Source organism: Homo sapiens, chromosome 17, assembly GCF_000001405.40.
Source record: "Homo sapiens chromosome 17, GRCh38.p14 Primary Assembly".
In the NCBI taxonomy this organism is placed as follows: domain Eukaryota; kingdom Metazoa; phylum Chordata; class Mammalia; order Primates; family Hominidae; genus Homo; species Homo sapiens.
Genome location: NC_000017.11, coordinates 46,703,201 through 46,717,310, shown reverse-complemented (window position 1 = coordinate 46,717,310; position 14,110 = coordinate 46,703,201). Strand labels below are relative to the sequence as shown.

Sequence of the window (14,110 nt, the reverse complement as noted above, 5' to 3'; positions counted from 1 at the left end):
TACCTCCCTGAGTTCAATTGTTTAGTTCCCATATATGAATGAGGACATGTGATATTTGACTTTCTGTGCCTGGCTTCTTTCACTTAACATGAGGTCTTCCAGGTCCTTCATCCATGTTGTTGCAAATGACAAGGATTTCATTCTTTTTAAATGGCTGTGTTACAGTCCACAGTGTATATGTGTCACATTTTCTTTATCCATTCATCCACTGAGGGACATTCAGGTTGATTCCATTCCACTACTGTGAATACTGCTGCAATGAACTTGGGAGTATAGATAACTCTTTGATATATATTATTTATAATTGTGAAAAAAACCTGGAAACAACCTAATTGTCCAACAAAAAGGGATTGTTCAGATATTAGACAGCTATTAATTTAAAATAATGTTCAGATTAGCTTTAGTTACACTGAAAAAAGTTCATAATATTTTAAGTGAAAAAAGCAAGTTTACATCAGTATGTTTCAATGTAATCCCCAATATATAAGGGAGGGGGTATATGTGTTCATGTGTACACATGTGTCTGAGTAGAAAAGAGAATTGAAGGACAAATATGAATTTATTGTTATTTTCTTCTGTTCTTTCTTGTATTTTCTAAATTATTTCTGTAATTAGAAAAAGCTACCTTAATTTTTGCACTTACAACAACAAAAGAAAGGTTTTCTCCAGAATTATAAAACTCTATAAATTATTTGTGCTCTGAAAAAAAATTAAAACATCTTCTTTCCATCCTCACACTAAAAATGGAGGTGCAGGCCGGGCGCGGTGGCTCATGCCTGTAATTCCAGCACTTCGGGAGGCTGAGGCGTGCGGATCATGAGGTCAGGAGATCAAGACCATCCTGGCTAACACGGTGAAACCCCATCTCTACTAAAAATACAAAAAAATTAGCCAGGCATGGTGGCGGGTGCCTGTAGTCCCAGCTACTTGGGAGGCTGAGGCAGGAGAATGGCATGAACCCGGGAGGTGGAGCTTGCAGTGAGCTGAGATCACGCCACTGTACTCCAGCCTGGGCGACAGAGCAAGACTCCATCTCAAAAAAAAAAAAAGGAGGGGCAAGAACAGTAGTGGGAGGTAGACTAGAACTTATACTAAAGAATGACATTTACATTTCATTTTCAAAAACAACCTGGAAGACTTAGCATCTTTAGACTGGTTTGACCCCTCAGGCTTTTGTCAACCTATCATTAGGTAACAATGTGAAAACTATTTGCAGGGAAATATTTTGTAATATTTCTAATATATTTCTAAGAAACCTATGCTTCATTCCTTTCTCTTTTCTGAACTTTAATGACAAAGAATAATATTTTTCCCCCAAGGAAAACCAAAAATTCTAATATAAATTTGTTATACTGCTGAAGCAGAAATAATTTTTATAATTTTAAGAGTGCACGGATGATCCGGACAGTGAATCATGAATTAAAACAATTTTGAATAAGCTTGTATGGACACTTATTTTTATACTCCCTAGCTTTCTACTCATCTGAAACTCTACCTTGAAAGGCTTCAACAATTTGAAGATTAAATAATAAGTTATTAAACCATTAATTTAACCATTTAAGCCTCTAAAATCAGCACATATTACCTTCCCCCTTCAAGTCAATTTGCAAGAGATTAAAATAATAAAAATGATAATATCTCACACTTACAAAGTAGCTTTGATCTGCAGAAGCCTGAAGTACTTTTTAAAAACTTTATAGAAAAACTAGGACCATCCACCCACATCTCAGAGTACATCTGAGGTAGAAGCTGGCAGCTGGTGGAAAGCAATGGAGTAATTTACCATCTGCAAAGATGACTACTACTTTTGAAAAAGCACAGGAATAGATGATTTAGGAGAATGCAAATAGAATTAGCTATTCAATAAATAAATGGGACATTCAACAGCTACAGATTTCAAGGGCTGTTATTTAAATTTTTACCAGAAGAAGTGGGTTAAGGGTTCCCATCAGAGGGAAAACGAAAAACAAAGAAAAACAGCCCTACCTACTCTAGGGAAATCACTGGTCCCAGTTATTCTATTCAGATTTTCCTGGGAAGGACAGATACTATTGGTTTCACCTCAGAGACAGAATAAACTATGATATTATAAGTTCTTTTTGCATCTGGCAATATTTCCTTTTCACACTCAATTTCAAACATTTTTATGTATTTCTCTGGACTCTTCAATGTGTATGCCTGGAATCCTGCTACAAGTTCGGCTTCCTCCATCCATCTGAAGTACCCTGTGCAATTTTCTGCCACCTGCACAAACAAGAGACTAGCTTCTCAAGCTTACATTTTTTGGGAGTCATCTTTTAAATCTATTTCTCTTCTTCAGTCTCTTTCCCAAAGAAACACCGAAGAATTCTACAATACATCTTTATAAAGCGAATGCCTAAGAGCAATGTAAAAGAAAACCCTGAGCTGTCTTTACTAGGGAGCACTTCAATTCTCAAGATTCTTTCACCTCATTCTGATTTTCCCACATCTCTTGGACTTACGGTCAGTTCATATCTATAAAAGATCAAGCATGAAAAAAAGAATTTAAATAAAAGAAATACTTCAGCTGGATACAAAAAATAATTTCTTGACTGGCAGTATGCAAAATTAGAATAGCAATGGAAACATGATCTAACAAGTAAGATGGAACAGCCATTTAAAGTCTTCATCATTGATTTTTGTTGTTGTTGTTGCATGGCACTTGCTTGAATGTAAGAGAGATGGACCAAATGGTCTTACAGTCTTTTCAGCTCTAGGATTCTATTCTATGCTGTTCTAACTTCACTGATGGTAGAAAGTGGCCATGTTAATTAAGAAGGTGACGAGTGGCACTTGGAGAAAGGAAGATGTATGAGAACTGCATTAAGTTACCAAGCAGATTCTGATTATTACCTAATATAAAACTATCCTTTTGTAGGGATTCCTGGGACTATTTTCCCATTGATACATCTCTGTCTTCCTCAACTTAATTGACCCCAAAGAGTTCAACTTTGTACAATAATGAAAGAACTTTAAAAAATCCTAAATGAATTTGTCCACTTTATTCAAACACTTTCAACTATAACTCTTTTAATCAAATTGATACAAAACTAGGCAATGAAACTTAATATGTATTAAACAAAGCATAATTTAGAAGGTAAAGGTACTCAATAAAATACATTACAAAGTTAGAAAATCTAAAACAGTCACTGCTTCCCCCATATTCTGCTGATAATTTGGTTCCACTTGAGAAGAACATAGTTGCTATGGGTTTATATGTATACATGTACAAAGGCATATATATGTGCACACACACACACATTTAAGAGATAGGAAATTAAAATGAAAGTAAAATCTTGATACCTTCTTCATGGCCTGACATTTGGCTGTTTCAGAAAAGCCAATCATTTTATCAGGAGAACAGATCTTGATGAACGGGAAGTTGGATTCCTCTGCAATTTTTGCAGCTAAAGCAGTCTTCCCACTGTGAGGAGGGCCTGCATAAAGATATGAGCAAGTCAGGGGAAAAAAGCCAACCTAAGCAAAGGGAAATAAAACAAGTTTAAACTTTTATCCAGAACATACTGAGGTCTCGACTAGTTGCTCATTAACATTTCCTGACACAATTTCACAGCAGACATGTTTTCTCTTATTTATTAGCAACTAAACTTAATGAACTAATTAGCATTTCTCAAAAGTATGGTGAAATACATGCCTCCTGACATTCTCACATATCCTTAATCTTTCAAACTTTTGGCAAAATATACAGAGTGTAAGGGTTTTGCTTCTTAAAAGAACGCATTCAAATGCATATTAGTACTTATGTTGTTAGTTCTATCAAATCATTTGTCTAACAAAAAAAGACAATCTTAAGAGCTGATATTGGGGGCAGGGGAAAACTGCCTTATTAGAAGCAAATGTGATGTAAAAAGTTAGAATTCTAAAGACTCAGGCCTTCTCATAAAGGCAAGCAAATCTACGAACTTACCTACATTTAGACATCCCTGCCTTCCCTTCCCTGTTTTGGAAGCTGTGTCCCTCGTTCAACCATAAACCAATCAAATCTTCCTTTCCATCTTCTCAGGAACATGACATTACTGATTGTTCCTTTCTCCCATATGTTCGACTTCTTCCTCTTCCCTGAAGCCTTTCCAAAAGTGTTTTAGCATGTTCTAGTCTATCTGACAGTTTAATACATAACAACAAAAAACTCTTTCTGAACATCATACCCCTCAAAACTGCACCTTCTTCTCCCTTCAAAATGGAACTTGCCTATGTAATTATTTACACTGGCTGCTTTTGTTCTTCACCTCCCACCCATCCTCACTAAATCTTACGGCTCCCATCCCCATTACACTGAACAGGCTCCCATCAAGGTCACAAATGATCTCCATGTCATCAAACCCAACAAACATTTTGGTATCTTTTTCAGCCTCTTAGGAGCATTTGATACAATTCATAATTCCCCTCTTTCTTAAAATATGTTTCTTTTCTTGGCTTCTGTAACACACATTCTCTCTTTCCCCTTTCCTCTCTGGTTACTCTTGCTCAGTCTCTTTTGTCAATTTTTCTGCTCTGTTTAGTCCTTACGTGTTAACATGCTTCAGAGACAAGTTCTAGGCCTCCTTTTCGTCTCAACCCACACCCTCACTGTAAGTGATTTCGTTCACTCCCATGGCTTCAACCACAGTCTATATACTGGCAACTCATGAGTCTACTGCTAGCCAGACCCACATATCCAACAGGCTGCTCAACATTTCCGATTTACTTCTCCTATATGACCCTTGAATTTAACATGTTCAAAACTGAACTCATCATCTTTCTTCCAGAAATCTGCTTTCCATTAGTGTTCCCAATCTTAGTAAACAGCACCATTTATCGGGCTATGTATGCCAGAACCCAGGGGGTCATGTTTGATACCTCTGCCCACATCCAATCTAACAAATATTTCTAGGCTTCAGCTTCCCCACCTACAAAATAGAGACAACAGCAGCATCTACCCTTGGAGGACTGAAGTGGGGTTTAAATAGATAATATGTGCACAGTGCTAGTAGAGTGACTGGCAAATAGCAAGGGCTCAAAAACTGCTAGCATAATTATGATTGACAATAATAATGAGGTCATTTTTATTCTATCTTCTAAATATTTCTAATTAGTCTACTTATCTCCATCTACACTACTCCACATACTTCAAACCACAATCGACTCTCATTAAGACTAATCCAACTGCTTCTAACCATTAGTCTCTTCTGTATCTTTTTGCCCCTCCAATCCATTCTCCATCATAAAGCAGTGATGATGATGTGGCTTCACTGCTTAAAATCCTACAAATGGCTTCCCATTGCCCCTAAGATAGTTTAAATCTTTAATATGGCCTACAGGGTTTTATATGAACTGGCTTCTATCTGCTTCTACAGTCTCATGTCAGGATAATCTCCCTTTCTCTTTCAAGCTCCTTCCTGCCCAGGACTTTTTCACATGCTCTGCCTCAAACATCCTCCCCAGTGACTTTGGCTGGCCAGAGTCTCCTCATTGGTCAAGTCATGGCTTAATATGTTTCTCCCAGGGAGCTCTCATCCCCCAGACCTTTAGAGGTAGTTAGGTTCCCTTGTCATGGGGCCTCACTGAACTTTTCTGCCGTCATACTAATTATAACTGTAAATTAATTATTTGTGAATGGAATGTCCTTCCCCTTTTGTCTGTCTACTCAATAAAATCCTAACTGGTCTTTCAAGGCCTAGATTAAATAGCATCTCTAGTTTTCCCTGACCACCCCTATGCTAAATGACTTGTATTCACACACACCTTTACACACATACACCGTAGTCAGGAATTTCTTTACACTGTCTTTGTTCATGACCAGACTGAATGAACACTTGAATGTCTTTGTATCCCCAGCAACTAGTTCAATGACTAAAATACAAGTACTCAGTAAGTATTTATTTAATTGAATTGAGGCTAAGTGGCATCATTCAGTGTATTAAGTGCCACAGAAATACAGATATAATCCTACAAGAAAACTAGTTGCTATCTTTCCTCACTAACATTCTACCCCAAGAAAATTTTAATTTGTACACAATATTGGTACATAGATTGGATTACTATTTTCAGATCAAGAACAAGGTTAAAAACGAAAAAGAATTCACTTTTCTAGAATGTGCTTACGGGCTTTTAAAAAATGCTGCTTTTTTTCCTTTAACTTTTAATGCCATCTCCTCATTCATTCTCACCTTCCAGAAGCACGCTGACCAATGGTGTGCGGTCACTGTTCTTAGTCTGCTGCACCAGCAGCTCCCCATCATCTAGAACTCGAGTAACTGGGTCACCCCATTTGATGATACCGTTCATAATGTAACTTGCATAATCTTCTTGGTTTGTGCCAAAGGCCTATTAAGAAAAAGGAGTCTAAAGCATTTTGAGCCTTAGTGTTAAAAACTAACAGTATAAAAGACGAGTTATAATCCGTACATGCTAAAGGTATTGATCACTATCCCATATTAATATAAAAAGCCTGGAAAGCAAAACAACTTGTATAATTTCTCATTTAACTTTTTTCCCAATAGGAAAAAAAAAGCTGCTTTGGGTGACTTAATGGAATAAAAACAATGGATTCTAGGCTGAGATTCCACCAGACTCAAACCCTCATAATTCCTGAGAGAAAGAATATGTTCCAATGTGCTTATTTTTATCAACAGTATGCAGTTTGAGGCTGTTCTGTTAAGAACAAAGGAAAAAAGAGATTATGGACTTAGAAACAGCGCAATAGACAAATATGCTACCTTAACACTGACTGCAGGTGCTATGGATTAACATGAGAATACGAAATGGTAATGAGAAGATCATGTTCACATCAACTTTGTGGTAGGGGACATAGTTAAATGGCACCAATGTTAAGTTTATATGTGTAAATATAAGATTTAGGATGAGATAGAAATGAGGAGCTGTAATAAGAAGGATATAAAAGCAATTATTTCAGATAATAATTCTATTTGTGTTCACTACATATTGGAGCTTAAATTGCACCCTTCTTCATTGTCAACTTTTAATCTCAAAGGTTATACCTCCCATCAAAACAGCTGCCAAAAGTAGTCAATAACTTTAGTATTTACAATTGAACTGGATTTTCATGAGGTTAACAGAATAAATAGGAAAACATAACCTACTACATGTAAAGATCATGTACATGTAAAGATCATGTATCTTGAGAATTTCAATTTTTTAAAGATCATCACATCCCTCAAAATTCAACTTTTGATTACCTGATGTATGGAATAGTTTTAATAGTTCTTTAGAACATGCACCTCACATAAAGCTGTTTTTGTAATACTGTCTTTGAAACAGTATCCAGTGATCTCATATCTCTATTACTTTGCCACAAAATAATTTTTCAGACCACTTTTTACGTAGTCTCTTTGCATATACTGGTCCTTTGATTCCTGAATACAGAGGAAGGTTCTCATTCTTTGGCCTAGATATGGCAAATTCAGTAGCAGTGTAAAAAGTAATGATGAAACTAATCCAAACTGGCTAAATGGCTGTTCTAAGAAATTTTCATGGCCGGGCGCAGTGACTCAAGCCTATAATCCCAGCACTTTGGGAGGCTGAGGCGGGTGGATCACCTGAGGTATGGAGTTCCAGACCAACCTGGCCAACGTGGTGAAACCCCATCTATACTAAAAATACAAAAATTAGCTGGGTGTGGTGGTGTGTGCCTGTAATCCCAGCTACTTGGGAGGCTGAGGTAGGAGAATTGCTTGAACCCGGGAGGCGGAGGTTGCAGTGAGCCGAGATCACGCCACTGCACTCCAGCCTGGGAGACACAGCAAGACTCCATCTCATTTAAAAAAAAAAAAAAATTATAGGCTGGCTTTTGTCTTTAATTTTTCCAGTTATATACTCCAAGCCTCACAGCAGAAGCTTTAAGATGCCTGAACCATAAAACAGTGACTCTCCCAAGATATATAACGTGTATATCTTCCTTACATATCCCATAATTTCATTTTTTTTTTATCCTCCAGACCCTTGGAATAAATAAAATTAAGTTTTTAGTTGTCACTTCCTCATGGCCAAATTACTTGTTGTTAAAAAAATCTTGGAGTTACTTTTGAAAATGATTATTTTATATTTAAAAGTCACAATAGTAATAAAAAGACAGGGCTAACCAAATTGGCTTTTGTCTTTAAAGGAGATACTTGGAACAAATAATTATTGTTAAGAATATATAACAGGCCAGGTGCAGTGGCTCATGCCTGTAATCCCAGCACTTTGGGAGGCCAAGGTGGGTGGATCACGAGGTCAGGAGATTGAGACCATCCTGGCCAACAAAGTGAAACCTCGTCTCTACTAAAAATACAAAAATTAGTCGGGCATGGTGGCGCAAGCCTGCAGTCCTAGCTACTCAGGAAGCTGAGGCAGGAGAATCACTTGAACCCAGGAGGCGGAGGTTGCAGTAAGCCAAAATTGCGCCACTGCACTCCAGCCTGGCAACAGAGCAAGACTCAGTCTCAAAAAAAAAAAAAAAAAAAAATATATATATATATATATAAAATAAATGGTGGCCAAGTGCAGTGGCTCATGCCCATAATCCTAGCACACTGGGAGGCTGAGGTAGGTGGATCGCTTGAGGTCAGGAGTTTGAAACCAGCCTGGCCAACATGGTGAAACCCTGTCTCCACTAAAAATACAAAAAAATTAGCCGGGCATGGTGATGGGTGCCTACAATCCCAGCTACTGGGGAGGCTGAGGCAGGAGAATCACTTAAACCTGGGAGGCAGAGGTTGCAGTGAGCCGAGATTGTGCCACTGCACTCCAGCCTGGGTGACAGAGCAAGACTGTCTCAAAAAAAAAAAAAAAAAAAAGGATATGTAACAAATGGTTGATAAGCATATGAAAAGATACTTATCACCACTAATCATTACGAAAATACAAATCAAAACTAGAATGAGATGTCACTTCATATTCATTAGGATGGCTACTACCAAAAAAACAGAAAATAATTTGTTGGTGAGCATGTGGAGAAGTCAGAATTTTTGTGCACCACTGGTGGGAATGTAAAATGGTGCAGCCACCGTGGAAAACGGTATGGTGGTCCCTCAAAAAATTAAAAATAGAATTACTATATGATCCAGCAATTCCACTTCTGAGTATATACCCGAAAGAACTAAAAACAGGGTCTTGAAGAGATATCTGTACAGCCATGCTAATGACAGCATTACTCAAAATAGCCAAAACGTGGCAGAAGCCTGGCTGCCATTGACAGAGGAATGGATAACAACATGTGGTATGTACATATCATGGATTTTTTTTTTTTTTTTTTTTGAGACAGGGTCTTGCTCTGTCACCAGGCTGGCGTGCAGTGGCACAATCTCGGCTCACTGCAACCTCCACCTCCCGGATCCAAATGATTCTCATGTCTCAGCCTCCCGAGTAGCTGGGATTACAGGTGTGTGCCACCACTCCTGGCTAATTTTTGTATTTTTTAGTAGAGATGGGGTTTCACTATGTTGGCCAGGCTAGTTTTGAACTCCTGACTTCAGGTGACCCACCCACCTCAATCTCCAAAAGTGCTGGGATTACAGGCAAGAGCCACCACGCCTGGCCCATATAATGGAGTATTATCCAGCCTTAAAAAGGAAGAAAATTCTGACATGCTGCAAGATGGTTGACCCTTGAGGACATTATGCTACGTCAAATAAGCTAGTTACAAAAAGACAAATACTATGATTCCACTTACATGGGTACTTAAGATTACTGAAATTCATAAAGATGGACAGTAGAATGGTGGCTGCCAGGTGTTGTAGGGGAGGGAAAAAAGAGTTATTATTTAATGGGTATAGAGTTTCAGTTCAAGAAGAAGAAAAGAGTTTTAGAGATGGATGGTGGTGATGATTATACAACATTATGAATATACTTAATACCACTGAACTATACATTTGAAAATGATTACAATGGTAAACTTTATATGTATTTTAACACAATACAAAATTGAGAAAAAAAGAGTATATAAAGAACTTGTATCAATCAAATAAGCAGTACAACAGAAAAACAGGCAAAAGACTTGGACACTATTTCACACAATACATGCATATGGTCAATTAACATATGGAGAAATGCTTAAGTTCTCTAATAACTAAAATGCAAATCAAGACTGAAATGAGATCTCATTTTACACCTAACTGAATGGCAAAAATTAAATCTGAGGCTGGGTGCAGTGGCTCACGCCTGTAATCCCAGTACTTTGGAAAGCCGAGGCAGGCAGATCACCTGAGGTCAGGAGTTCGAGACCAGCCTAGCCAACATGGTGAAACCCCGTCTCTACTAAAAATACAAAAATCGGCCAAGCATGGTGGCAAGCACCTGTAATCCCAGCTACTCGGGAGGCTGAGGCAGGATAATTGCTTGAACCCGGGAGATGGAGGTTGCAGTGAGCTGAGATCACACCACTGCACTCCAACCTGGGCGACAGAGTGAGACTCCATCTCAAAAAAAATAAATAAATAAAAAATAAATCTGATAATACCAAGTGTTGGAGAGGATACAGAACAAGAGGATATGTTTCACAGTATTGGGGGCAGTGTTGGTTCAACCACTGGGAAATGTTTTTTTAAAGCGGGACATTCATATATCCAACAACCTAATAATTTTATTCCTAAATAAGAGAAATTCATTCAAGAATTCTTACGACAAATCTTTTTTTAATAACAAAATACTGGTAACATTCACAATTGACAGGAAAATAGATAAATTGTGGTACTCACACAATGGAATGCTATTCAGCATGAAAATGAATGATGTCTAGCTACAAGAAATCATATACATCAGCAGTCCCCAACCTTTGTGGCATCGGGGACCAGTTTTATAGAAGATAATTTTTCCATTGGGGGAGGAGGTGGTTTCGGGATGTTTCAAGTGCGTTACATTTTTTTTTTTTTGAGACAGAGTCTCGTTCTGTCACCCAGGCTGGAGTGCAGTGGTGCGATCTTGGCTCACTGCAACCTCTGCCTCCTGGGTTCAAGCGATTCTCCTGCCTCAGCCTCGTGAGTAGCTGGGATTACAGGCACGTACCACTACATCCAGCTAATTTTTGTATTTTTAGTAGAGATGGGGTTTCACCATGTTGGTCAGGCTGGTCTCGAACTCCTGACCTCGTGATCCGCCCGCCTCAGCCTCCCAAAGTGCTAGGATTACAGACACGAGCCACCATGCCCAGCCCAAGCACATTACATTTATTGTGCACTTTATTTCTATTATTATTACATTGTAATATATAATGAACTAATTATACAACTCACCATAATGTAGCATCAGTGGGAGCCCTGAGCTTGTTTTCCTGCAACTATATGGTCCCATCTGGGGGTGATGGGAGACAGTGACAGATCATCAGGCATTAGATTCTCATAAGGAGTGTGCAATCTAGATCCCTCAGATATGCAGTTCACAATAGGGTTCATACTCATATGAGAATCTAATGTCACCACAGATCTGACAGGAGGTGGAGCTCAGGTGGTAACACGAGCAATAGGGAGTGGCTGTAAATACAGATGAGGCTCACTCACTTGCTGCTCACCTCCTGCTGTGTGGCCCAGTTCCTAACGGGCCATGGACCAGTACTGAGGGTTGGGGATCCCTGATATAGATGACTCTTGGTAATAAAATATTTAATAAATAGCAAGTCCCAGAAAACTACATATACCATATGTTATTTTACATGCCATGAAAATACAGACTAATAACAGTGTGTCATAAAGATTAAGATTAATCTTAATGGACCTGAGGTCCATTTAAGAAAGAAAAGCACACACTTCTTTAAGAACTGGGACTTTCTACAATTTGTTTTTGTATTAACACAGGACTCTAAACAAAAGTTACTCAAATGTTAGTAGTTGTTTTATAGGAAAATGGGTTAATAACCTTAAACTGTATTCTAAAGCTCCAACTATGACCATTTTGAGTGCGTTTTAAGAAAACTGACACTTTTTAAGTCTTAGAAACTATAGTAGTCAGAGAAACTAAATGTACTGAGCAAGAAAAAGGGATGCCTTGGAAGAGGCTGAGGAAAGGAAGAGAAAGAGAGAGAGAGAGAGAGACAGAGGAGGATATGAGAGTTAATTTTAAATATCCTAATAACTGACATATGGAAGATGGACTGAAGTTAGGTTTCTGTAGCTTGGGATTGTATAAGAACCAATAAGAAAATTAGTTCTAGTTCAATATAAAGTAAAACAATAACTGGAAAGTCTCAAAATTGAATGGCCTGCCTTACAAGATGGTAAGCTTCCTATCATGAAAATATTTCAGTAAATAATATCACCAGCCACTAGGATTATTGTACAGATGTTTCTCATACTGAACATTTCCAATACTAAAATTTTCTCATTTTATGAAACTGCATATGCTATAACCTTCCATAATACTGAGTAAATGGCACTTACTTTTCGCCTGAGTTATTATTATCATTACTTTTTGGCCTATATATCACTCAATGGGCATACTCACTGGTTTGATATCATTCTCCAAAGAAGCAAGGAAGTCTCCTCTCGTCACTTGCAGGCTTTCTGCTTTCTCCATGTCCACTTCCACTTTAGTACTGGCCTAAGAAGAGATAAAAACAAAATGTAAGGACTTCCAAGATTTAAGAATAGTTAAGAATATATTCAGTTTAAGAACGTAACTCTTGAGGATTTAAAAGCATATTTTCACACATAAAAAAATCTGAAATATTTGCAAACCATATATGTGATAAGGGATTAATATCCAGAATACATAGAGAACTGCCAAAATTGAACAACAAAAAACTAAATAAAAAATGGGCAAAGAACTTAAACAAACATTTCTCCAAAGAAGATATACAAATGGCCTTAAATAAGCACATGAAAAGATGTTCAACCTCACTAATCATTAGGGAAATGCAAATCCAAACTACAAAGAGATTTCACTTCATACTCATTAGGATGGCTACTACCACAAAAATGCAGAAAATAAGAAGTGTTGGTGAGGATGCGGAGAAATCAGAACCCTTATGCACTGTTGGTGGGAACATAAGTAAAATGGTTGAGTCACTGTGGAAAACAAAAATATGGTGGTTCCTCATAAAATTAAAAATAGAATTATCATATGATCCAGCAATTCCACTTCTGGGTATATACCCCCAAAGAACTGAAAACAGGGTCTTGAAGAGATATCTGTACAGCCTTGTTCATGACAGCATTACCCACAATAGCTAAAATGTGGAAGAAATCCATATGACCATTGACAGAGGAATGGATAAACAAAATGTGTTACGTACATACAATGGAATATTATTCAGCATTAAAAAGAAAGAAAATTCTGATATCCTGCAACATGACGAACCTTGAGGACCATATGCTAAGTTAAATAAGCAAATACTGTACAATCCACTTATATGAGGTTCCTGGAGTAGCTGATATCCAAGAGACAGAAAGTAAAATGGTGGCTGCCAGGGGATAGGGAGAGGAAGGAATGGGGAGTTACTGTTTATGGGTATGGAGTTTTAGTTTTACAAGATGAAAAGAGGTCTGGAGATGAATGGTAGTGATGGTTGCACAACATTAAGAATGTATTTAATGCCACTGAATTGTACATTTAAAATGGTTACACGGTAAATTTTATGGTTTTCTGTTTTTTGTTTTTTTTTTTTTTTTTTTTTTTTGAGACGGAGTCTCACTCTGTCCCCCAGGCTGGAGTGCAGTGGCGCGATCTCGGACGCTGCAAGCTCCACCTCCCAGGTTCATGCCATTCTCCTGCCTCAGCCTCCCGAGTAGCTGGGACTACAGGTGCCCACCACCACGCCCGGCTAATTTTTTGTATTTTTACTAGAGACAGGGTTTCACCATATTAGCTAGGATGGTCTTGATCTCCTGACCTTGTGACCACCCGCCTCGGCCTCTCAAAGTGCTGGGATTACAGGCGTGAGCCACCACGCCCGGACAATTTTATGGGCATTTTAAAACAATTTTAAAAATTGGAATCAAAGAAAACACATCTCTCAAATTCACAAATATATATATCCTCTGAACAAGTCCACTTCTAGTAATTTATCCCCTAAATATATTCACAAATGTGTACAAAGTTATATGTACAAGTATATCTACTAAAGTAACTTGTTATGAAAAAAGATGGGAAGCATATT

At 37.9% G+C, this 14,110-nt stretch overlaps 2 protein-coding genes across 3 annotated transcripts in view; both read right to left on the bottom strand.

The window, feature by feature from the left end:
* Nucleotides 1-14,110, bottom strand: part of LRRC37A2 (leucine rich repeat containing 37 member A2) — a 676,337-nt gene that overhangs the window by 331,818 nt on the left and 330,409 nt on the right. The window lies entirely within an intron of this gene.
* The window catches only part of NSF (N-ethylmaleimide sensitive factor, vesicle fusing ATPase), a 166,796-nt gene that overhangs the window by 40,154 nt on the left and 112,532 nt on the right, over nt 1-14,110 (bottom strand). For both annotated transcript variants that reach the window (NR_040116.2, NM_006178.4), the window contains 3 exons: nt 12,457-12,552; nt 6,192-6,348; nt 3,325-3,458 (listed from right to left, as the gene is read on the bottom strand). Coding sequence is in view for 1 of the 2 variants with exons in the window: in NM_006178.4 (NP_006169.2) it covers nt 3,325-3,458; nt 6,192-6,348; nt 12,457-12,552 (387 nt within the window). In the remaining variant the exon portion in view is untranslated. The remainder of the gene's footprint in view (nt 1-3,324; nt 3,459-6,191; nt 6,349-12,456; nt 12,553-14,110) is intronic.